The sequence below is a fragment of the Homo sapiens genome, chromosome 7 (genome assembly GCF_000001405.40).
Source record: "Homo sapiens chromosome 7, GRCh38.p14 Primary Assembly".
NCBI lineage: Eukaryota > Metazoa > Chordata > Mammalia > Primates > Hominidae > Homo > Homo sapiens.
This window is the reverse complement of record NC_000007.14, coordinates 23,213,036-23,239,759: the sequence shown is the minus strand read 5'-3', so window position 1 is coordinate 23,239,759 and position 26,724 is coordinate 23,213,036. Positions and strand designations below refer to the sequence as shown.

The window sequence follows — 26,724 nt, the reverse complement described above, 5'->3', positions numbered from 1 at the left end:
CTATTTTGTAGTGGAAGTGAAACGTGAATGATATGAAATTTCCTGGTAGCCACATTAAACAAAAAGTAAAAAGCAGCAGTTGAAATTATTTAAATAATGTACTTTATTCAATTCAATATATTTAAAACATCGTAATTTCAATATGTAATCACTATATGAAATTATTGAGATCTTTTATTTTTTTTTTTTGTGCAAAGTCTTTGAAACCCAGTGTGGGTTTTGCACTGACAGCACATGTCAGTTCAGACCAGCTCATCGCAGGAGCTCGCAGCCACATGTGCCAGTGGCTACTGTATTGGACGGCATAGTTCTGGAGGGACACAAAAGGCTTCTGGAGGAGCCACAGCTTGGGCCTCTCTCAGTGGGAAACGGCGTGGGAGCCCTGGCCCAGGAGAGTGCTGAGGCCTGCCAGCCCTGAGGGTGACAAACTCCAGTGGGCAAGGGTACAGGGTTGTGCCTGATTTTTATGGAAAGTGAGTATCACAGGGAAGATGTTTGCATGTGCATCTCGTATTTTTTTCTCTGACCGATTTCCCAGGAGTGGCAATAAAGAAGTGGAAATGTAGAGGCCGAGTTCCCATTACACATAATTGATTTAATGACCACTCCCCACACCCGACTGTCCGTCTCCAGCTTTCTTTTCAAAGTAGAAATAAATCTTGCAAAACTTGGTTGTAAAACTTTTTGATCTCAACCTAGTCATCAGTGCCTTGCTCAAGATAATGTTTAAGTGTTAGCCAAGAGTAAAATCTCACAAGGCAACTAATTTCAGGACAAGTTTAGTGTATGTACCAACAATTTTATAAAATTTAATTTTATTTTGAAATAATTTCAAACATACAGAAGAGTTACAAAAATAGTACAAGAGGGCCGGGAGTGGTGGCTTATGCCTGTAATCCCAGCACTTTGGGAGGTTGAGGCAGGAGGATCACGAGGTCAGTAGTTTGAGACCAGCCTGACCAACATGGTAAAACTCTGTCTCTACTAAAAATACAAAAATTAGTTGGCATGGTGGTGGGTGCCTGTAATCCCAGCTACTCAAGAGGCTGAGGTAGGAGAATTGCTTGAGCCCGGGAGGCTGAGGTTCACTGCTGCCCTCCAGCCTGGGTGACAGAGTGAAACTCCGTCTCGAAAAAAAAAAAAAAAAGAATAGTACAAGAACTATCATGTATCCTTTACCCAGATTTACCAATGTTAAAATTTTGCCACATTTGCACGATATCTAATTTACATATGTGTGTGTAGTAAGCATATATACTTACTAGTTTTATAATGAACTATAAGTTGCAGACATCATACTCCTTTACTCTTATTTTCTTCAGCTGCTATTTCCAGAGATCAATGGCATTCTCTTAATGTAAGTACAGTGCAGTTATCAAAATCATGAAATTTAACATCAATACAAAACATGAAATGTAACATCAATACATCAATACAATACTACTATCTAATCCCCAAATTTTGCCAATTATCCCAATAACATCCTTTACAGCCCTATATTCCCCCTCTAATTCGGGATCCAATCGAGGATCATGCTTTATATATTGTTGTCATGTCTCTTTCGTCTTCTTTAATCTGGAACATTCCTAACTTTGTCTTTCATGACATTAATATTTTTGAAGAACATAGGCTAGTTTTTAATAGAGTGCCCCCCATTTTGGAGTTGTATGATGTAGATTCAGGTTATGTGTTTTGGACAAGAACACCACGTACCTGATATTACTTCCTTTTCAGTGCATTACATCTTCCAATAACTTTCCATTCATTAAATTAAAGACGATATGATTTAAACAGAAATATCTACAGACTTACTACAGGGCCAGGCATAGAGTAGGCTCTGAAACATTCTTATGAATTGATTGAGGCTTGGAGACCTTATGTCAGTAAGGAGGCTATTCCTATTCTCACAAGAAATTTATAAAACAAATTAAAGTTTCATGCACATAAACAGCAGCAAAGTTCTCTGATTTTAGTCTATATGGGAAAATCCTGAAAAATGTTTAGAACATGCTCTCATAGAGAATATTCACATAAATGTAATGAGATATATACCTCAGCTCACCTATATAAAAACACACTCTTAAAAAAAGATATATAAAATAACACACTCTTTCTTATTATAGCAGATCCTTTTTTATAAGAGGCTACATTCTAGAAGTTTTCCATCTTGCCCTCTACCTTCAGAGTTTTCTTAGTTCACTGGGCCTGGACAATAACTTTCTTGCACATTTACTTACCTTCCTTTTATTAATCATGTGAATTCGAAAGCTCAAATATTTATAGCTAAATGGTATATTTTCACTAATTCTTTACAATGGAATGACTGCAAATGAAATGGAAGTTTTGCTCAGAACCTCTAACTAAAGGCTAAATATGGAAATAGAGGCAAAAGAAATACAATGCAGTAAAGAGTGTGCACACCTGTATAAAATGAAACAGGATGATGTTCCAGAGCCTAACCTCTGAGCAGAGTTAGATTTAGGGCCCAGCATCAGGGCTTCCCACTATCATTCTTTCCAGGAACCTGCAGATAGGGTGGAAAGGGCTATGGCTGGAAGCTGACGCAGCATTCTTGACTCCCTTCCTTTCCACCTGTTCTCCACAAAATGGAAATTCTATTAAGATTTTTGAGTGAGTGTGTGTGTGTGTTGGGCAGCAGGTAACAAGAGGTCACAAAAGGTGCAATATTTGACTGACACAGAGAGCGTCCTCTTGGCTATATTTAAATTTCCGGACATATGGATAGATTCTGGTTCATAGCAGTAGTTGATGTTTTAAAGTTTAGATGTTTTTTGTTGCTCTTTTGAGCAATTCTTCGCAGTCTTCTCACATTAGGAAACATCTACAAAGTTAGGACTTCGCACTTGATTGGCCAAAGCAATTGCCTTTGTGCAAACAGTATTTTATTTGCCCCACAGACATCTGTAATTTCTTACCATGGCCCCTACTTCCTCCAAGTTCCTCTTGGGGAGGACTGCGTGGATGGACTCTGTGTTCATACCTGGGTCAGATGGGATGGTCAGAGCAGGACAGGCAAAGAGTGGGGAGACAGATCCCACCAAAGTCACAGACTGAAAAAAAGTTGAGAAATGCTGATAAGTAACAAGCAAAGCAAGGAAATTTTTAAAAGGTATAAAAAACCATCATCTCAGAGCTCTCTGTAAAGTTGGCACTTTTTATTTCTTTCTCTTTCTCTCTTTCTTTCTTTCTCTCGACAGCTCTGTCGCCCAGGCTGGAGTGCAGTGCCACGATCTCGGCTCACCGTAACCTCTGCCTCCCAGGTTCAAGCGATTCTCCTGCCTCAGTCTCCTGAGTTTTACATGCACCCACCACCACACCTGGCTAATTTTTGTATTTTTAGTAGAGATGGAGTTTCACCATGTTGGCCAGGCTGGTCTCAAACTCCTGGTCTCAAGTGATCTACCTACCTCGGCCTCCCAAAGTGCTGGGATGCATTTCGAGATTTCTAATTTTAAAAGTTATATTGCATTTCTTGTTAGTTCTTGTTTGATTGGGCCTTCATTTGCTCATCTGCTGAGTCTTGTAGGCAGAGGGTCACAGGCAGAGCATGCAACCTGTGAGCCGGGAGAATCAAACGGGCCACCTGCCAGGGCATGCTCATGGGCTCTGACTCACCAGGGCTGGGATCCCATGCTAAGTTCTGGCTCCGCGTCTCCTGGGAACCTGTGTGTTCACATCCCTGTCTTTCTTTTTGACACTGATTGTGTACTTTGGTTATAAGCCATTACTATAGCTCCGTTTGATTGCTTAACTATTGCCAAGAGATCACTCTGATGGTCCTGATGAGCCAACCATTATGATGAAGAGCAGAGCTTTTACTGCACAAGGCCTATGGGACACTCTTCAACTTACAGCCTTGCACCACGTGACTGTCCAGCAACAGAAGAGTCCTGACTGTGGAACATTGAATTTGATTCAAAAAAGCCACCCAGAATTTATAAAAGCTACTTAGCTAACTTTTGTGCTTCTATGGTTTGAAAACCATGTGAAATCACTTGAAGAAATTATCTTTTTCTGTTGCCCAGGCTGGAGTGCAGTGGTGCAATCTCACTGCAACCTCTACCTTACGGGTTCAAATGATTCTCCTGCCTCATCCCCCTCGAGTAGGTGGGATTACAGGTGTGTGCCACCATGCCTGTAATCCCACACTAACTTTTGTATTTTTAGTGGAGACGGGGTTTTGCCATGTTTGCCAGGCTGGTATCGAACTCCTGATCTCAAGTGATCAGCCCACCTCGGCCTCCCAAAGTGCTGGGATGACAGACATGAGCCACTGTGCCCCACCAAGAAATTATCTTATTTTAAAATGAGTTACGCGTCTTAAGAAAGGTTGGAATTAAATTTGGTTCTGCACATAAAAAATAGTTCTAATTTCTGGGTTGTCTTTCAAAAGTCAGAAATCAGCCTCCCTATTAATCAGCCTTGGGGCAGATACTTCTCTTTGCCGACCCCAAAGACATTTCTTGATTCCTCATTCCCTGATGCTGCTGGAGTTTTGGGTGGAAATCTCTAGTTCTCAAGGGAAGGGGTCCGGACCCTAGTGTGAGGGAGCATGTGATCCACTCCTGGCTAATGCCATGAGGGGAAGTCTGCTTTGGGGCTCCAGGGATTATTTTCCTCCTTGACTTGTTTACTAGGTCAAGTTATTTGCATATGTTGCTGTGCATGTTCTGTCTTTCAACAAAGGTTGTACGAGGAAATGACCCAAGGAGGTGGGTGCTATGGCCATCTTGAAACCATTAGGGCAGGGGGAGAAGGCGTTGACCCAAGTCCCTGATGCAACGTCACCGAGATTGAAGCAGTGCCGGTTTTCTCTCTAGAGTTCTTGTTATGTGAGAACTAAAACCCTTTCGGTAGGGTATTCTGTTACTTGAAACTGAAAGTAGTCCAAAGTGGTAGAAATAGCACCGATTACCTGCCAGGCCCTGTGCTGAGCAGTCAGGGAAACAAGACAAATACTGGATATGATTTCCATCCTCAAGGGGCACACAAGAGTTCAGGAGTTGGCATTTTTTTTTTTTCTGCAAAGGGCCAGGTAGAAAATATTTTTGGCTTTGTGGGCCATATGGTCTCTGTCATAACTACTTAACTCTGCAGTTGTGAGAAAGCAGCCATCCACAGTCTGTGTTCCAATGAAACACATGAATAGTGAGAGTTGTATTTCACATAATGTTAATGTGTCACAAAATATTATTCTTATTTTGTTTTCTCTGACTTAACCAATTAAGATGTAAAAGCCTTTCTTAGTAGGCTGTACGAAAATATGCAGTGGGCTGGATTTGCCTCACAGCCATAGTTTGCTGACCTCTGTTCTGGGCAAAGGAGAAATCTAGAAAAAAACAAACAAACAAAAAACAGACACAAAACTGAAGGTAAAGAAAATGCAGCCTTCAAGGTTTTGGTTTTCTTCCCCTTTTATCCTTAAACAAAAGATAATCTCTCAGCAGTTGAGAAGGGCTGACCAAGAGGTGAGAGAGAACTGGAAAAACCAATCTGAATGGAAGAAATGTTCAAGGAATTGTATGTATCTGAAGTTTTGCCTGAGAGGTTCTTTCCCTAGGTCACTGAGATATTCATTCACCTACATTTCCTTCTAGTAATCTCATTGTTTTATATTTTGGTCTTTTTTTTTTTTTTTTTTTTTAAGATGGAGTCTTGCTCTGTCACCCAGGTGGGAGTGCAGTGGCATGATCTCGGCTCACTGCAAACTCCGCCTCCCAGGTTCAAGTGATTCTGGTGCCTCAGCCTCCCAAGAAGCTGGGACTACAGGTGTATGCCACCTTGCCCAGTTAATTTTTGTATTTTTAGTAGAGATGGGGTTTCACTATATTGGCCAGGCTGGTCTCGAACTCCTGAGCTCAGGTGATCCACCCGCCTCGGCCTTCCAAAGTGCTGATTACAGGTGTGAGCCACCACGCCCTATATTTTGATCTTTAATCGACCTGACCTAGAGTTCACTTCATATGGAGTAACTTAGGTGGGGATCCAGCTGTATTTTTATCCACATAGTACCAAGATTTCCTGGTACCATCTTCCGAGAAATCCGTCTTTTCCCTGGTTCGTTGCAGAGGATGATTGGAGGCAACCTGGGTGTCTGTCACCTGGGGAAGGGGAGCATGAAATGTAAGGATGCACACCAGGGGGTCACAGGCAGATGTCAGAAGAGAAGATGAGAGGTCCTCATGGCAGCACAGATCTTAAGACTGTGTGGGGAACACTCCATTCATCAGCCGTGTAACTTGAAGTCAGGCATTCACCACCACAACACTCCCTTTACACAAATACTTGGAAACAGAATGGTGGGGTAGGGGGATGTAGGAGTAAGGAAAGTGGATAAAAGAGAATAAATAAAATATAAAGCAAGGGAAGGGACTTATGCCGACTAATCACAAGCATGTGCCTTGAACTGAGGAATGAAATGAACTCAACTCTCCTCACCTAGGTTAATAACCACCCCCCCCAAAAAAATTGAAGAACATCTTGAAAAAGCAGCTCAGTTTCCTGTTGTGACCTGGAGGCTTCCTGCTCATTCCTGCCTTCTGAGTGAAAGTAGTTTATCACCTGGTGACTTCCTCCTAGGGGGAGAGGCAGATCCTGTGTTAGGGAGCAGGAATGTGAGAGAGGACAGGAGCAGACTTCCAGGAAGACCATTCTGGCAATGTTGTGAAGGCTGGACCAGAAAGTCATTGTCATCCACCCAGGACATAATGATGACTGTGACGATTGCTTTTCATATGCTGGACAGTAATCGAAGCATTCTACACACTCACAACAACCCCGTGGGGTAGAAACTCTAATTGTTCTGATTTTATAGATGAGCAGACTAGGGCACAGAGAGAAGTAATTTGTCCAAGATCACACAGCTAGTAAGTACTGGATCTGGCATTTGAATCCCTGCTGTCTGGTTCCAGAATCTACCATTGAACCTTCTCACTGTGCAGAGGGCCTCACTAGATGTTAGCAGTATCTGGTGAAGCCACCTGTCTGCACCACTTAATTCATGTCTTGATATTTCAAATGGGAACAAAAGTTTAATGGTTTTTTTTTTTGTCTTTTTTTCCCCTTAAATATGAGGCAGCCCACCAGGTGGCTCACGCCTGTAATCCCAGCACTTTGGGAGGCCAAGGTGGGTGGATCACCTGAGTTCAGGAGTTTGAGACCAGCATGGCCAACATGGTGAAACCCCATATCTACTAAAAATACAAAAATAAGCCGGGTATGGTGGCTCACGTCTATAGTCCCAGCTACTCAGGAGGCTGAGGCATGGGAATAGCTTGAACCTGGGAGGTGGAGGCTGCAGTGAGCCGAGATCACGCCACTGCGCCCCAGCCTGGGTAACAGAGTGAGACTCTGTCTCAAAAATAAGTAAATAAATAAATAAATAATAAATAAATAAAATGAGGCACTCCGTACTACAGGGGAAAATATACAGATTTTGTTTTGAATATGTTTTTTAGGATTTTTTTTCTTGTGGTTTTATTTCTCAAGTAATGGGTATAGACTGGGCACAGTGGCTCATGCCTGTAATCCCAGCACTTTGGGAGGCTGAGGTGGGAGAACTGCCTGAACCCAGGAGTTCAAGACCAGCCTAAGTAACACGGGGAAACCTCATCTTTACAGAAAATTTAAAAATTAGTCGGACATGGTGGTGTGCACCTATAGTCCCAGCTACTTGGGAGGCTGACGTGGGAGTATTACATGAGCCCAGGAGGTAGAGGCAACAGCGAGCCATGAATGCACCACTGCAGTCCAGCCTGGGCAATAGAGCAAGACCCTGTCTCTTAAAAAAAAAAAAAAAAAAAAAAAAAAAAAAAAAATATATATATATATATATATATATATATATATATATATATATATATATATATATATATATATATATATATATATATATATATATATATATATATATATATATATATATATATATATATATATATGCATTTTTTTAAAAAAAGAACATGCCCCTCCACATTTCTGACTAAAAATGGTCAGTGGCATATTAATCAGAGCTCACTTTTTGTAGAGACAGGGTCTCACTATTTAAAATTTTTTTGTCCAGGCTGGCCTCGAACTCCTGGGCTTAAGAGATCCTCCCACTTTAGACTCCCAAACTTCTGGGATCAAGGGTGTGATCACTGGGTGATCACCACACCCAGCCAGTCTACGTTCTTTGCTAGTGCCACTAAACATACTGTGAACTGTCCTTTCTGGGCCTGGATATTGAGAATGACCAAAAAAGGTGAAAAGGGGCCACTTTGATGGAAGTACAACTATGACAAGTCAACAGGTTAACTGTACCTTTTAATCTCTAATTACATAATCTTTAACTTAATCAGTGGGAAAGATTTTGGCATATCTTCCTAAGTCTCGAAAATAAATGACTGCATTTTGCACTAACAAACAGATCAAAATACTGCCAGTGAGTACAGTAAAACGCAGAGGAAAGAAAATGATTAGAATAATGTCAATGAACTGTTTAAGGGGGAAAGTTAAAGATTTTACATTCAGGGCTTTCCAATGTTAAACTGATCTTTCAGGCCAATGTTTTGGAGTGTGTTCAAACCTAGAAAAAAGAGCGACATTCTTCATTAGCTGGCAATAACAAGAGGCATTTTCAGTGGGATTTAATGCTGGGCATAGACTGCAGTAAGCACGAAAATAACCAAGGGGGCTGAACTCATTGAATTGATTTGTGCTGTTTACTGATGTTCAAAAATAAAAAGACCCCATTGATTCAAGTTCTCTGCCCCTGAATCCTTTCATCAAGTGTGCAAGGAATTGGCATGATGCACAAGGCCAAAAAAAGTGACACCATGAAAAAGAGAATCGTAAAGGAAGTGGACTTTTCTGGCAGGAACACACCAGGGCCTGTGAAAGGGAACACTGAACGTCTATGGGGCTGGGCCAGGGGCCACAGCTGTCAGATGGGGCCTGAGCGGAACATGTGGCTTCTGCCGAAGGAATTGGGTTTCTGAGAAAGTATTAAGGCCTGGGCCAAGGTGGCAGAGGAGAGCTCAGAATGGTGAGAAAGACAGCTGGGGTTGGCACGAGGAGAGCACACCAGGCCCCCTGAAAGGCAGCCCTGCTGTGAATAAGGGCCATTGTACAATGACACTTCAGCCCCCAGGGGCTCACCCAGACCTACTGAGGGGAGGTGGCTGTCCTTCTGGGTCAGCTCACGCCAGATTCCATGACACACAGGGCTGGAGATTAAAGGCTCAATACAACTTCTATTAGGAGGGGATTATGAAAATATGCTCTAGAAGGTACAATCTTCAGAAAGACAGCAGGCCAAAAGGGGACAGCCCTGTAAGAGAGGTAGACCAAAAGGGCAATCAGGAAACAACATAAAGGAGGAGGAGCAGGAGGAGAAGAAAGGGGCCTTAAGACTAGGCCCTCACTTTTTCTCTCTCTAACACACACACCCACCCATACACACACATCATTATGTATATATTTACATTTTATTATGAAAATTTAAGACATAAAACAGTATAATGATTCCTGTATATCCATCACCTGGATTAATAATTATTAACATTTTACCATATTTCTTCATATTTTCTTTCTTTATTTCTCTCTCTCGCTCTTTTTTTTTTTTTTTTTTTTTTTTTTTTGATAGAGTCTCGCTCTGTCACCCAGGCTGGAGTGCAATGGTGTGATCTTGCCTCACTGCAACCTCCGCCTCCTGGGTTCAAGCGATTCTCCTGCCTCAGCTTCCTGAGTAGCTGGGATTACAGGTGTGCGCCACCACACCTGGCTAATTTTTGTATTTTTAATAGAGACGGGGTTTCACCATGTTGGCCAGGCTGGCCTTGAACTCCTGACCTCAGGTAATCCACCCACCTTGGCCTCCCAAAGTGCTGAGATTACAGGCGTGAGTCACCACACTTGATCCTACTTATTTCTTTCTTTCTTTATTTTGAGATGGAGCCTCGCTCTGTCGTCCAGGTTAGAGTGCAGTGGTGCAATCTTGGCTCACTGTAGCCTCTGTCTCCCAGGTTCAAGTGATTCTCGTGCCTCAGCCTCCTGAGTAGTTGGAACTACAGGCCTGCGCCACCACACCCAGCTAATTTTTTTTGTATTTTTAGTAGAGATGGGGTTTCACCATGTTGGGTGAAACCCAACATGGTCTCAAACTCCTGACCTCAGGTGATCTGCCTGCCTCCCAAAGTGCTGGGATTACAGATGTGAGCCACCATGCCCGGCCTTCTTTATCTTTATTTTTAAACAAATCACAGATACTTCCTTAGCACTTTCATATGCATCACTAAAAAAAGAGCATTTTTTGTAACTCCAAATTACAACAGTTACATGTTAACAATAATTCCTTAATATTGCATTATACTTAGTCATTGTATTAGTTACCCGGGGCTACATAACAGATTACCATAAATTTAGCGGCTTGGAAATGCACAAATTCATTATCTCATAATCTCCATGGGTTAGAAGTCTGAGCGCAGCTCAACTGGGTCCTTTGCTCAGCATCACACAGGCAGTGATTAAGGTGTCAGGTGGGCTGTGTTCATTCTAGATCCCAGGGTCTTGTTCCAAACGCATATGGTGTTAGCAGAATTCAGTTCCTGTGGTTGTAGGACTGAGGTTTCCATTTTCTTTCTGGTCAGCTACTCTCCCAGTTCTCTGCTCCTCTTTGCAGTGCAGCTCCTCAAAAGAATGGCCACACTTGCTGCCTTCACACCCTCTCCCTGATTCCCTTTTGAAACCATTGCTATCAGGGTTTCTTTCCCACCTTCCCATTGGACAGCTCTTGTCACCATGACCTTCTTATTATGTCAAATCTGATGGTCCATTCTCGGGCTTCATCTTGTTTCGACTAAGAGCACCATCAGGCACTGCTGGTCACCCTTTTCCTTGCAATCCTTTTTCCTGGATTCTTGAACCAACTTCTCCTTGTCCCTCCTGCTCAGTCACCTTGCTAGTTCCTTCTCATCTCCTTGACCTCTGGATGTCACAGTGCTCCAATCTCTTCTCTGCTCTAGCTACATGTACTCCTTAGGTGAGCTCATAGTAACAACAATAAAATAAGCAGTGCATTTGTGTATGTGTATTTGCTAGGTTATTAATTAAAATAATAATAATTAAACAAACCATTATTAATTAAAATTATTATTATTATTATCATAGCAAACACATATACATTGGTTATTTTGTGCCAGGCAGTGTTTTAAATGCTTTACAAATATTAACTCATTTAATTTCTCATAACGACACTACTCGGGAAGATACTGAAATAAATGGTTATTAAATAACATTATTATTGTCATTTTACAGCTGGTAAAACTGAGGCACAGGGAGGTTAAGATACTTGCTCAATGTCACACAGCTAATAAATGAGGTAGCTATGATATGAAACCAAGCAGACTGGTTCCAGAATCTGTGCTCTTACCACTACATTACACTGCATTTTATTTCCCTGCCTACTACTCAGCTCTAGTCATATATCGAAATGACAACTTAAATTTATAGTGTTCAAAACTGAACTCCTGATTTTCCCTCCCAAATTGATTCCATCCACACTGTGATGGATATTGTGGATTGACTCGCTCAACATCTATCCCAACCACCCTCTAAGAGTGCCTTCCACAGCTGAGCGTGGTGGCTCATGCCTGTAATCCCAGCACTTTTGGAGGCTGAGGTGGGCAGATCATCTGAGGTCAGGCGTTCAAAACCAGCCTGGCCAACACAGTGAAACCCTGTCTCTACTAAAAACACAAAAATTATCCAGATGTGGTGGTGCATGCCTGTAATCCCAACTATTCAGGAGGCTGAAGCTGGAGAATCGCTTGAACTCGGGAGGTGGAGGTTGCAGTGAGCCAAGATCGTGCCACTGCCCTCCAGCCTGGGCAACAGAGTTAGACTCTGTCTCAAAAAAACAAACAAACAAACAAACAAAAAGAATGCCTTTCAATATTGCAGAGGCCAGAAAAAAACACACATTTTCCAGACTTCCTTGATGCCAGGGTTCCAGATGTCATTTAGCTTTTTTTTTTCTTTTTTTTTTTTTTGAGACAGAGTTTCGCTCTTGTCGCCTAGGCTGGAGTGTAATGGCACTGTCTAGGCTCACTGCAACCTCTGCCTCCCGGGTTCAAGTGATTCTCCTGCCTCAGCCTCCCAAGTAGCTGGGATTACAGGCGCCCGCCACCATGCCCGGCTAATTTTTGTATTTTTAGTAGAGATGGGGGTTTCACCATGTTGACCAGACTGGTCTCGAACTCCTGACCCCTGGTGATCCACCTGCCTCGGCCTCCCAAAGTGCTGGGATTACAGGTGTGAGCCACCATGCCTGGACTGTCATTTAGCTTTTGACAATCAGACCTGAGACTTGAATTTGGAACTGATCTAATGAGGAAGAGAGGCAAGGCATATGCATCTGTTTTGTTAGTGAAAACCCCACCAGAAGTGGTACAGCTCTGAGGCTGGCGGAAGGAGTGGTGGCTTCCCAATTTAGCAGAGGCAGCTTGCTGATTGTGGCAGGGACAGCAGTTCCCTTGGCAACAAGTTTTATGATGTGTCTCCAAGAGTTGTTCCTGGATACTGAGTCTAGCAGCTACATTGTTGGCCCTCTTAATGATCTTGTAATTCATTTTATACTCAAAAATGTCTCCTACTGCTTAGTGTAGCTCGACTGGATTCTGTTCTCTGCAACTGAAACTTGACTGGTGCTTGCAGTCTTCCTTATCTGAGTGACAATGCCATTCTTCATGGGTGTGGATATAACCGTACACTTTAAATGTGTGTGGCTTATTGTCTCTTATACCTCAACAGAGCTATTTAAAATATAATTGATTTTGAGTTCATTTTATATATAATGTGAGGTGTAGCTCGAAGTTCAGTTTATACATATAAATATCCAGTTGTTCTAGCACAATTTGTTGGAAAGACCATCCTTTCTTCAGTAAACTGTCTTCACACCTTAGTAAAAAAATCAGTTGTCAGGCCAGGCATGGTGCTCATGCCTGTAATCCCAGCACTCTGGGAGGCTGAGGCAGGCAGATCACTTGAGCTCAGGAATTTGAGACCAACCTGGGCAACAGGGAGAAACCCTGTCTTTAGCAAAAATACAAAAATTAGCTGGGTGTAGTGATATGTGTCTGTAGTCCCAGCTACTTGGGAGGCTGAGGTGGGAGGTTGGCTTGAACCCAGGAGGTGAAGGTTGCAACGAGCCAAGATTGCACCATTGCACTCTAGCCTGGGCAACAGAGCCGGACCCTGTTTCAAAAAAAAAAAAAATCAATTGTCCATACATGTATAGATCTATTTCTGGAGTCTATTTTGTTCCATTGAGCTATTTGTCTTCTTGCCAACACTACACTGTCTTGATTACTGTAGGTTTATAATACATCTTTATTTTAAAATGTATTTTATTATTATATTATAATTTATATTATTATATTTTTTGTAGAGATGGGGTCTTGCTATGTTGCCCTGGCTGGTCTGCAACTCCTGGCCACAATCGATCCTCCCGCCTCAGCCTCCCAAAATGCTGGGATTATAGACATGAGCCACTGGGCCCTACCTATAATACAACTTGAAATCAGACAGTGTTAGTCCTCCAAGTTTGTTGTTCTTTAGACTGATAGATTCTTATCTTATTTGATGAGTTAAAATTTATACTGTAATTATTTATTTTAATTGTTCTATATTTGGCCAGTAGGGTCTCTTTGAGCTAGCTCCTGCATTCTTTTGAAATGGCCCCAAGACTTACTGAGCCCTTACTTTTTTGTCATGATCCAGGCTCATCTTGTATTTTCCCTGGCCCAGCCGAAGAGTCAGATATTTCCCCAAAGAGCCCTAATTCTCAGTGCAGTGTGATATTTAGAAATTGTGACCTTGGTGCTAGGTGTGTTCATGGCTACTGGGTGTTGTTACTTGTAGGTCCTTTCTTTGTGTGTGTGTCTGTGTATCTGCACCACATGTAATTCTGTTTTTCTATCTATATTCAAAATCTTGCATTCACACCAATACCTTCAATTCCAATCTAATATCGCAGGACTCATTCAAATCTTACCCCTTTTCATCCTTGTAAATCCACTGTTCAAAAGTGAGAAACCTGGCTCTCGTTATCCTCAATATAATACTTGTTCGTGGCTGGGTGCGGTGGTTCATGCCTGTAATGCCAGCACTTTGGGAGGCCGAGGCGGGAGGATTGCTTAAGGCCAGGAATTTGAGACCAGCCTGGCCAACATGGCAAAGCCCTCTACTAAAAATACAAAAATTAGCTGGGCATGGTGAGATATGCCTGTAGTCCCAGCTACTTGCAAGGCTGAGGCATGAGAATTGCTTGAACCCAGGATGCAGAGGTTGCAGTGAGCTGATATCGCAACACTGCATTCCAGCCTGGGTGACAGAGTGGGACACTATCTCAAAAACAATAACAAAAACAAACAACAACAACAACAACAAAATCACTTGTTTGCTTAACCCTAGAATATAAAGAAAGTAGTTTCAGAATTTTCAACCCTGTATGAAAAACCAACTTGCTAATAGAGTTTGATATCTGCTTACAGTTCTTTTTTGTCTTTAGTCTGAGGGTATAAAATCAAAATGCTCCCTTCAAACGTTACCTGTGACTGGAATACACATTTCTAAAAGATATACAAATGGCCAAAGAGCACACAAAAGATGCTCAACATCACTCTTCATCGGGATATGTAAATCAAAACCACCATGAGATACTGAGATACCACTCCATGCCACTAGGATGGCTACAATTTTTTAAAATGGAAAATAACAAGTGTTGGTGAGGATGTAGAGAAATTGGAAGCCTCATACATTGCTGGTGGGAATGTAAAATGGTGCTGCTGCCATAGAAAACAGTTTGGTGGTTCCTAAAGAAGTGAAACATGGCTGGGCACGGTGGCTCATGCCTGTAATCCCAGCACTTTGTGAGGCCAAGGCAGGTGGATCACCTGAGGTCAGGAGTTTGAGACCAGCCTGGCCAGCGTGGCAAAACCCTGTCTCTACCAAAAATACAAAAATTAGCTGGGCATGGTGGTGCATGCCTGTAATCCCAGCTACTCGGGAGGCTGAGGTAGGAGAATTGCTTGAAACTGGGAGGCAGAGGTTGCAGTGAGCCAGGATTGTGCCACTGCACTCCAGAATGGGTGACAGAACGAGACTCTGTCTCAAAAAAAAAGAAAAAAAGAAGTGAAACATAAAATTACCGCATGCCCCAGCAGTTCCACTCCTATACCCCCATAAATTGAAAACAGGAGTTTAAACAAAATCTTGTACATGAATGTTCATAGCAGCACTACACACAATAGCCAAAAGGTAGAAACAACCCAAATGTCTATCAACGGATGAACAGATAAACAAAATGTGGCATATCCACACCATGGACTATTTTCCAGTCATGGAAAGGAAAGAAGAGCTTCAAGGGTGGACCTTGAAAACATTACCCTGAGTGAGGTCAGGCATGGTGGCTCACGCCTGTAATCCCAACACTTTGGTAGGCCAAGGTGGGTGGATCGCCTGAGGTCAGGAGTTCGAGACTAGCCTGGCCAACATGGGTTTTTAGTAGAAACTCCGTCTCTACTAAAAATACAAAAATTAGCCAAATGTTGTGGCGGGCGCCTGTAGCCCCAGCTACTTGGGAGGCTGAGGCAGAAGAATCACTTGAACCTGGGAGGTGGAGGTTGCAGTGAGCCAAGATCGTGCCACTGCACTTTAACCTGAGTGACAGAGCGAGACTCCGTCTCGAAAAAAACAAAAAACAAAAAACAAAAAAACCCCCAAAAAAACAAAAAACAAAAAAGAACACATTACTCTGGATGAAAGAAGCTAGGCACATCTTGTGACCCACACTGTATGACTCCATTTATATGAACTGTCCAGAAGAGGCAAATCCATAGAGAGACAGTCTGTGTCCATCAAATGCTTGTAATCCCTTACCTTCGGTCGTCCTCTAACCCCCATCTTCTGTCTCATCCAGTTCTGGCTTCATGCTGTGCCCTTGTGTCCAAGGCTGGTGACCACACAGATATTCCCATTCTTCAGACTGGAGTAGCTTCAACATCAACAAACCTCTCTCTTTCTAATACTGGTTACCTCCTATAGATTATTATCCTGAAAGATATGCTCATCCCACCAGCAGACAGAGGAGGAGGTGAAGGGACAAAATGGGCAAAGAGACAAACAGTTCCTTTTAGCCACAAGCTCCCGACTCTTTAAGGGTGGGGCTGACCCTGCCCCCATGTTTAGTGATAGAGAAGAGCTGGTGGTCCTGCTGGGCTATGTGAGAGGTGGTCTCCTGGAATGCACTGAGCCAGTCGTAGGTCAGTTGCAATGAGATGGTTTCCTGATACACATTGTGAGGAGCTGTCCCTGGCTCCTACACTTTGCACGGTGGGGTCCTCTCTGCTCAGAAAACTTCCCTCTCCTTCCATGACAACATTAGCCTCATCACTGACCCGGCCCTGCTGCCTTCTTCCTGAAGTCAGCCCTCTGAGGATTCTAGGGGAGGAGGTTGGTTGCCCCTGATACTCTATGGGAAGGGATCCACCCCTAGCTAAAACTGGGGGGTCACTGGGCTCTCCACCCACTAATTGTCCCAAACCTTCTCTTTGCAGAGGTTAGGGGTGAGTGGGTGGGGGTAAACTTGGAACATTGTCAGCTCTCTGATAGAGGCTGTTCCTGTCTGGAGGCTGGGTGGATTCCACCAATTCTCCAGTCCCCCCACTGGTAAGAGGCTGTGGGGATACATTCTCAGAGTAACTCAGGCTCTGGCTTCTGCTCCCCTCACCAAGTAACAGTACTTTGACTTGGTTCCTCCCTGGCTATAACATCTAAGTGCAGCAGCCTGTTGGCCAGTGCTGACCTGGGACTCGAATTTCACAGCCAGACACAATTGTCCAGCTGTTGCTCTGGGCACACTACTTGGGTCATGGTCTCCTTTTATTGGCAAGTGGGGTTTGGCTGAGGGGCCTTGGCCACTGGCCAATAAGCATCTTGGAATGTGTCCTCAATTTAGCTGCACACTGAGCAAGGCTTCCTAGCTGCATCCGTTTTCTCTGGACCAAAAACAGAGGTCAAAGGGCAGCCTGGGCTTCTTCTCAAATATCAATCAATAGGAAGTGCCATAGGTGGCACTGTTCCTGAGCTCCACGAGTGTGGAATAATATGCCCCCTGGCTGTCCCTTGCCTCTTCTCTCCTGGGTTCTGTTTTGTTAAATCCCTCCAGGAGAGGGTCCTTGGGAGCCCTAAGAAGTGATCCTAGACGTTTTCATTTCCGCTAATAGACCTGAGCAGGGAAACTGAAAACTAAAAATCATTTACTCCCAAGCCCTAAGCCTCTGTGCAACTTCTGATCCTGCCTGAGGCATGTCTGATGCTCCCAACGAAGTGATCTCTTGCCACCAGGATGCTTCCTGTACTAGTTTGCTAGGGCTGCCATAACAAAGTAGCACAGACTGGGAACCCTGAATCACAGAAATTTACTTCTCACAGTTCTGGAGGCTGATGTCTGAGATCAAGGTGTTGGCAGGTTTGTTTGCTCTGAGACTTCTTTCATTAGCTTTCAGATGGCCGTCTTCTTGCTATGTACACACATGCCTGTGTCCTAGTCTCTTCTTATAAGGACACCAATCACCCTGGGTTACAGCCTGCCCATATGCCCTCATTTCACCTCAATCACTTCTTTAAAGATCCTATCTTCAAACCCAGTCACATTTTGCGGCACTGCAGGGCAGGACTTCAATATGTGAATTCTGGGGAGACACAATTCAGCCATAACACTGCCCTAGGCTGGATGGCTCATTCCAGAAGACAAAATAATTAATGGACTCTTAAATCACAGGGAATGCCTGTCTGAGTAATTTCTGAATAGGTAGTTTTAGTGAGCAATGTTTGGCTAAATATATCAGCAGAAATGTCTCTTTCACTTGGGGCCATCGTGGACCAGAAAAACCAGAGCTATGCTTAGCGCTACTGTTTCTTCCCTCTCCGGTGAGCACTCAATGCCCACAGCCCCACAGCTAATTTTTATATTTTTAGTAGAGAGGGGGTTTCACTATGTTGGCCAGCCTGGTCTCAAACTCCTGAGCTCAGGTGATCCACCCACCTCAGCCTCCCAAAGTGCTGGATTACAGATGTGAGCCACCGTGCCTGGCCAAAATTTCTCTCTTCTTGTAACACCACCAGTCATTGGATTTAGGGGCCACCCTAATCCAGTTTGACCTCATCTTGACTTGAATACCTCTGCAAAGGGCATATTTCCAAATAAGGTCCCATTCACAGGCTTCTGGGTGAAGACGAATTTTGGGGGGCCACTATTCAACCCAGTAGAATTGGTAACACTCAAAAGAGGGTAAAGTTGTTTCCAATTAGTGCACCTACTCTTGTCAGTCTTGCTGGGTCTGGGAACACCACCACAGCAGTGTCCCTTGGGTTCCATCACCCTTTTTGGAAACTCCACACTTACCCAGATATAGGGAGCTTTCTGTGCACAGACTGCAGGCACCCAACTCTACCAGACCAGCCTGGCATCCTCCCAGACCTGCTGACCCTAGTGACCTTCCCTCCCAGCGTGAGTGGTCTCAGTGAAAGCTCCCATTCCTCCCACTGTGGCAAAGCCCTGGCCACAGACTCGGCCACCACAGACCAAGGAGTGCCTATGTGCACAGCCCACTGACAGAGGCTTCGGCTTCCGCAACGTGGAGCAGTACTGGGAAGCTGACGCCCTATGGGGATTTTGAGAGAAGATGGAAAGAAGCCAGCAGATAAGTGACTCGCCTTTCCTCCCCAACAACAGACTGTTTCAAATGCAGTAGGTTTCTCTGGCCTCTCTTGAGATGTCCTGTGAGAAGGAGCAACCTGCTGCGTTTGTTGCAAGCTGTGACAAGCTCAGCAGTCCCTCCCCTGCTCTTTGTTCTCCCTCCTTCCCTGACCCAGGTCTCCTTTTCTATCACTCCTGCCTCTCTTGGATTGTATATTTCAGTAAGACATTAGCGTGCAAGCTTTTGCCTCTGGCTGTGTTCTAGGCTAGGATACAACCTTCTCAGATCTCGTAGTAGAATGTTCCTAGATTTACTCAAAACAAAACAAAAAACTCCAGCCACTTGAGAGTCACTGTCCAGCTTATTCTACTCCTTTTTGGATCCAAAGGGAGACCTTTGTCTATGGTTCTGTTAGCCTATTAGCAAAAGGTCTGGAGTGAAAAGGGTAAAAGCACGTCTGGGAGAGGTCATGAAGGGGCCTATAGAATTGGCTATTTTTCTCACCGACTCCATTGTGGATTATTTTACATACAGTAAACATACATTCAATCCATTTTGATAATTGTGCACACCTATGAAACCACAACCACAATCAAAATAGAAAACATCTCTATTACCTCCAAAAGATTCTTTGTGTCACTTTGCACAGGGTCTCAAAATGATCTTTTTGTCACTGTAGATTGGTTTTCATTTACACAAATGAAGTCGTGCCATATGTATGCTTGTGTGCCTGGCTTCTTCCACTCAGCATCATTTTGAGATTGATTCATGTTGTTGTTTGTATTAGAAGTTTGCTCTTTCATATTGCTGAATAGTATTGCATTGTGTGGGTATATCTAATTATTAATCTATTCACCTGTTGATGGGTCCACACCCTCGCCCTGATTTTGGCTATTACAAATAAATCTGCTATAAACATTTGTGTACAAGTCTTTGTGTGAACATATATTTTCATTTCTCTTGGAAAAATACCTAGTGGAATGGCTGGGTCTTACTGGAGGTAGGTGCATGGTTAACTTTTTACAAAAACACCAAACTTTTACAAAGCAGCTGTACCATTTCCACAAGCAATGGTTAGATGTCTAGTTATTCCACGTCCTCATCAACACTTGGTACTGCTAAATTTTAAAATTTTAGCGATTTTTATCAATGGGTAATGGTATCACATTGTGGTTTTAAGTACAGATACCTGATGACAAATAATATTGGCATTTTTTCATGTGTTTATTGGCCATTTTTATACATCCTTGTGTGAGTGTCTGTTCAAATAGATGGCCCATTTAAAAACAATGGGTTACTTGTCTTATTATGAAAATGTAACAGTTTTCTATGCTGTGAATATTTTCTCCCATTTTCTGGTTTGTCTGTTTTCTTGTTTTTTTTTTGTTTTTGTTTTTTGTTTTGAGATGGAGTCTCGCTCTGTCACCCAGGCTGGAGTGCAGTGGTAAGATCTCGGCTCACTGCAACCTCTGTCTCCTGGGTTCAAGCAATTCTCCCACCTCAGTCTCCCGAGTAGCTGGGATTACAGGCGTGCGCCACCATGCCCAACTAATTTTGTATTTTTAGTTTCACTATGTTGGCCAGGCTGGTCTTGAACTCCCGACCTCAGGCGATCCACCCACCTCAGCCTCCCAAAGTGTAAAGATTACAGGCGTTAGCCGCCGCATCTGGCCCGTCTCTGTTTTCGTAATGGTATCTTTCAATGAGCAAGAGTTTTAAATGTTAATAAAGTCCAATTTATCAAGTTAGTAGGAAAATTCCATGCTTTTATTTGTTCTATATAGGAAATCCTTGCCTTCCACCAAGTCACAAAGACTTTCATCTGTCTTCTTCCAAGAATTTTAATAGTAATTTTAGCTTCTGTATTTAGTTCCATGCAGGTCTATGATTCAATTAGAGTTAACTTCTGATCGATGTCCATTTTTTCCATATGGGTAACCTAACCTTAACTTATGTGGATATATAATAACATCTCAAATATCAAGTGTCCAAAATTAAACTCCAATTTTCATTCCTCTCTATCTCTAATACGCCACTTAATCCTTCCACAAGTGCTGCTGCAGCCACTGCTCCCTCCCTGACTTCACCCCCTAGCACCAACCCCACTCTGCTCAAGGTCCCCACAGTCTCCTGCTATGCTTCAAGCCCACCAGGCTCTCTGACCTCAGGGCCTGTGCACTAGCCACCATTCCCCCAGGAATTTGCCTGGCTCGCTTCCTGACTTCTTCGTATTCTGCCCAAATGCCCCTTTTCAGTGAGATCGTCATTGACACCCTTATTGGTAATAGCAATAGCCACACCTAGTATAACCTATTTCCTTTCATGTTTATTTTTTAACATAGCACTTATTATTTTCCTAGATACAAGATGGTTGACTCATTTAAAAACAGACTGTCTTCCATAAATAGTATATGAGCTCCACAAGAGCAGGGATTTGGGTCTGTTTTATTCTTGACTGTCTCCCTAGCCCCAAGAGCAGTGCCTGACCTAGCTGGCATTCAATAAACATGCATTGAATGAACGAACAGTTCTGATTCTTTGGTGGTTCCTGCTCTAGACCTCCTGTAAACGTCCTGAGCTTTGGGGCCTGGCTACATCTAGCCTGGGAGGTGGAGCTGGGCCCACCCGGGTCTGAGGTGGCAGAGAAGCATCTAATGGGGCAGGATCCTCCCACCAGTGGCTGCCTGTCACCCAGAGACTGACCTTCCTCCTCCAGCTCTCATTAAAACACTCTGTTAGACCAAGTGGGGCTACATGCCACTGTCCCTGTTCTCCCCAATATTTCTTGCAGGAGATTGTTATGGGGAAGCACCCTGAATAACTCAAATAATAAAGCTTCCTATGCAAAAACTGCAGGGGGTACTGGGCTTTAGGATGTGATTGGTGGTGGGGGTTTGTTTACTCATTTACTTTTCTGTCAGCCTTGTAATGTGAGGTGTGGAGCCAAAAATTAACTTGTTATGAGAAATAAAGTAGTATTTCTCCCACACCCGAGTTTGGGATTTGAGAGACATAGTCTTTAGGAACCTGTTTGCAGTCTGGGGCTCAGCAGAATGCAGGTTGGCTTGACCTTCTCTTCAGGCTGTGTCCTCACCAGGTTCTTTGACTTTTCATGAGGACATATCTCCTGCCTAGGGCCAGCAACATAGAGGTGTGACTTGTGCAGTCCCACAGGGCCCCACTCTTAGAAACGAGCTTCGGTTGGTTTAATGCTCTGTTGTCACCATCTTGATATTCCTAATTTTTGAACAAGGAACCCTGTATTTTCATTTTGCCCTGGATCTCACAATTCATGCAGCCAGTCCTAACCCTGCCTCTCGCTCAGCACCTTTAAGCACACAGCACCAAAGCCCAGCAGTTATTAATATGCTTTCCTGAACTCACTGATGCTGCAGAGCTTGCTCAGTGATAATAGGTCTGACCACCCATCAGGCCCTCCAAAACCCACTCAGCTAACAAGCTGAGATGGGTCCCCAAAGGGCATCATCTTGGCTCCCTGTAGAACTGATTTCCCATGCTCACTTTGGCCTGAAGCGCCCTATTCTGCAAAAGGACATCATATGAAATAGCCCTGGGAAGTCACTGTGGTCCATCCAAAGGAATTCACTGAGGATCCTTTTGAAGGCATTACATGTACGTGAGAAATTTCTCTCTGATCTCAGCATACAGAATGCTTAGCCTTCTCCTGAGCAGTTGTATTCTCTTTTCAGAAAAAAAGTACTAGCGGCTGGGCACGGTGGCTCACGGCTGTAATCCCAGCACTTTGGGAGGCCAAGGTGGGTGGATAACTTGAAGCCAGGAGTTCGAGACCAGACTGGGCAACATGGTGAAACCCCCGCCTCTACTAAAAATACAAAAATTAGCCGGGCACGGTGGCGCATGCCTGTAGTCCCAGATACTGGGTGGCTGAGGCACAAGAATCACTTGAATCCCGGAGGCCGAGGCTGCAGTGAGCCAAGATCGTGTCACTACACTCAAGACTGGGTGACAGAGCAGAACTCTGTCTCAAAAAAAAGAAAGAAAGAAATTAGGGACACTGTGAGCCACAGAGCTCACTGTTGCCTTCATTATCTTGCTATTAGGAAGCTAAGAACCAACTCTGCCAGCACTGCCAGTAAGCATAGAGCCCACAGAGCACACATTTTGTGGCTTCATTTTCTTTTTCCTGTCCTCATTTTCCTTTTGCCTCTGTTTTCTCATCCACTTGTCTAAAGTTTTATTTTATTGTGTATATTTTCTTTTCTTTTTTTTTTTTGCATAGTCTTGCTCTGTCACCAAGGCTGGAGGGCAGTGGTATGATATTGGCTCACTGCAACCTCCACCTCCTGGGCTCAAGTGATCCTCCCACCTCAGCCTCGTGAGTAGCTGGGACTACAGGCGCACACTGCCATGCCCAGCTATTATGTTGCCCAGGCTGGTCTCAAACTCTTGAGCTCAAGTGATCCGCCTACCTTGACCTCCCAAAGTGCTGGGATTATAGGCGTGAACCACCACACCCAGCCTGTATATATTTTCATAAGTCATCTCACACCTTTTCTAGAAAAAATAATCAAAAATTATTAATACTAAAATAAATCAAATCCTGCAGAATTAAGCCTCTCTTCCCATAAAATCCCTATAACATAAAAAGATGTTTCAAGACTTGCTCACTTAAACTGAATTGCCCACAACAGAATTCTGGCACAACAGTGACTGGAGTCATGGGATTTGCTCTGCAGGGACCTGAGCCTGGTGTTGAAATGCTTCCAGGCCGGCAAGACCCCGTGACACCCTGAAGTCAGCTGCTTAGGGCTCTTGGAGAGGAGATCACTACCACCCTCTTCCTCTTTTTTAAAAGCAAAACAAACCCAAATCAACTCACTGGCCACTGGACAGATAAATGCTCCATGGCCTTTTCTGATACCCAAACACAATGCAATTAATCTAGCAGGTGGATTCTGCCTCACTGCCTCACTGTGTATATATATATACACACATACATTACTGTAAACAGACATCACTGAATATCATAAACGTAACTGACCAAAAAAATGAATAAAATTAGCAAACACTTGTATATTGATTCCACCTTCTTAATTAAGTAATGGAAGTAGGTCAGCTGGTTTTTCATCTGCTTCAAGCATCATTTACTTAGAGATTTTGTTTTAAGTTGAATAACTTTTCCTTCTGAACTCCTCTCTTCTAAAATCTCATGAGTAAATGGGGATTAGGTAGTTACGCTAAGTTAAAGTGCTATTTTCAAAGAATAAAGAATAGCTAATGTATGTAGATCTACAAAAAAAAATTAGGTTTGGGAAAACCAAATAATCATAGGGTAGAGCCTTTTACACCATTCCAGTTTCTGTTTCTAGGTTTCTTCTGATAAAATTGAGCCTTTAAAACAAGTATGTTTACTAACACCAGTAGGGCAATGTTTGTAATGCCCTTTAGAAACAAAGCTGGCAGTAGGCCGGGCGCAGTGGCTCATGACTGTAATCCCAGCACTTTGGGAGGCCGAGGCGGGTGGTCACCTGAGGTCGGCAGTTCGAGACCAGCCTGACCAACGTGGGGAAACCCTGTCTCTACCAAAAATACAAAAAATTAGCCGGGCGTGGTGGCACATGCCTGTAATCCCAGCTACTTGGGAGGCTGAGGCAGGAGAATCGCTTGAACCCAGGAGGCGGAGGTTGCAGTGAGCCGAGATCGCGCCATTGCACTCCAGCCTGGGCAACAAGAGTGAAACTCCATCTCAAAAAAAAAAAAAAAAAAAAAGAAAAAAAGAAAAAATGCTGGCTGTTGTATCATGTTCTGTATTTATTTTATAAATAGTACTTGTTCGTTCAGTTTACCAACCGCCAGTAAAATAAAGTTTTATTCATAAAATAACAGTAAATGTTGTGGCCTGAGGGAAACTGTACTCCAAAGTGGGCTGGAAGGAATCCCTGTGGCGTTAAGAATGCTGATGGAGAAGGGTGGGGAACCTGACAGAAGAAGCTGGAGAGAATATTTTCAGGCTGTGTTTTCACACCATGCTGGGCACACAGGGAGAAGGGGGAAGAGAACCTCTATGTAAGGTTTGGAAAATGGGGTTGGTGGTGTTTTGTCATGGCACAACTCAAGATAGAAAGGCAAAAGAGAAAAAAATTAGAAAAATAATTTTTCTGCAAGATCAATAAAAAGCTTATTTATCAGCAACAAAACAAGGATAGGAGGTATAGCCAGGCTTTACCTGGAGACCTGGGTGGTGTTAGAGCTGAGCTCTAGGGCTAGCCCAGAGAAGTTTGTAAAATGATGCTAATTAGTTAATTGGGCACGAGAAGCAGAAAGGACACATGACAGATTTCTGAGAGATACTGCATTTAGTCAGCTAGAAGCTCTAATTCATGGCTTCAGGGTGAAGATTTGGTGAGATAAGGGCATTGTGGGAAGGCAGGACCATTCAGCACAAAGCTAGGAGCCAAGGGGAGAGCTGAAGAAGCCAGGCAGGTATCTGGGGCCTCACCCCCGCGGCGATGGAGGTGGGGGCTGAGGCGGCAGCTTTCTCTGGCTTGAATCATAGCAGCCTACAGAAAATGGCAAAAGAAGGGAAATTGGAAATTTCAAGGGTTTGCCAGTTCTTTGTGAACTGTTATGGTGGAAGCAGGGGCTACAGGGTAGAGCTAAGAGAGTGCTGCGCCTGCCCCAGGAACAGGAGAGGCCCCCTGCCCCCACCAGGAATGTCAGGGGACCATCAGGTGATGGTCAAGCGGTTGTTAAGCTGTCTCTCTAAAATAATAATTGGTCGCAGTGCCAGGGAAAGGTTGTCTCCCAATAAATAGAAACATCTGAAATTGGTGATTAGCAACTTACGAATAAGATATCAGGAGTTGGGTGAGTGGACTCAAGCATGCCCACTAAGAGGCAAAATGGCGTAGTTTAACTGGTTTAGCTTCCTCTGGTAGCACTGCGCTGGTAAGGGAAGAACGCCTCAAGTGAGCATGCGTACAACCTCAGTAAACATACTGCGCATGCTTCCCCCCGCCCAGGTGCTGGCCGACCACCACGCATGCGGACAGCCCAACCTAAGGGAAGGATCAGGGGAGAAGAGATGCAACCCCCAGAAGCATACCAACATATAAAACCCCAAGTCAAAGGTCAAACAGCACACTTGACTCTCTCAAGTTGTCCGCTTGGCCCTCTTCCAAGTGTACTTCACTTTCTTTCATTCCCGCCATAAAACTTTTTAATAAACTTTCACTACTGTTGTAAAACTTGCCTTGGTCTCTCACTCTACCTTATGCCCCCTTGGTCGAATTCTTTCTTCTGAGGAGGCAAGAACTGAGGTTGTTGCAGACCTGTATGGATTCACTGCTGGTAACAACTTGACAATTAAAAAATAAATTTAGGGGCAGGGCATGGTGGCTCACACCGGTAATCCCTCACGCCGGTAATGTCAGCACTTTAGGAGGCCAAGGCAGGCAGATCACTTGAGGTCAGGAGTTCAGGACCAGCCTGGCCAACATGGCAAAACTCGGTCTCTACTAAGAGTACAAAAATTAGCCGGGCGTGGTGGCATACACCTATAGTCCCAGCTACTCGGGAGGTTGAGGCAGGAGAATGGCTTGAACCTGGGAGAAGGAGGTTGCAGTGAGCTGAGATTGTGCCACTGTACTCCAGCCTGGGTGACAGAGACTGTATTTCAAAAAACTAATAAATAAATAAATATAGGCCTGGTGTGGTGGCTCATGCCTGTAATCTCAGCACTTTGGGAGGATGAAATGGGAGGAATGCTTGATGCTAGGAGTTCAAGACCAGCTTGGGCAACAAAACAAGATCCTATCTCTAAAAACAAAATTTTAAACATTTAGAGGACGCTTCAAAGAGCCCCTTTGTCCACAGTTGAACTACATTTGGTGAACTGAAGACAGGGAAGAAAGAGTCTAGACATTACGGCCTCCATGGTCCCCTCCCCCTCCTCTTCCTCATAGTGATCACACGAACCTAA

The 26,724-nt window shown here is 43.8% G+C and overlaps 1 long non-coding RNA gene across 2 annotated transcripts, besides 1 other annotated feature; it reads right to left on the bottom strand.

Moving 5' to 3' along the window:
• On the bottom strand, positions 1–25,685 carry LOC101927890 (uncharacterized). 2 transcript variants are annotated; one of them, XR_927097.3, is made up of 3 exons: positions 25,590–25,685; positions 2,937–3,071; positions 1,125–1,351 (listed from the first exon to the last, which is right to left on the bottom strand). It is a non-coding gene; the product is annotated as an uncharacterized LOC101927890 (long non-coding RNA). The 2 variants fall into 2 exon arrangements; XR_242147.3 differs by having other exon boundaries at positions 1–3,071.
• Positions 4,953–5,182: an enhancer, noted in NCBI's record as "active region_25722". NCBI's record gives its function as "activates an Ori minimal core promoter by ATAC-STARR-seq in GM12878 lymphoblastoid cells {active_cell/tissue: GM12878}" and the evidence as "EXISTENCE:reporter gene assay evidence [ECO:0000049][PMID:35858748]".
• Positions 25,686–26,724: the final 1,039 nt, after the last annotated feature.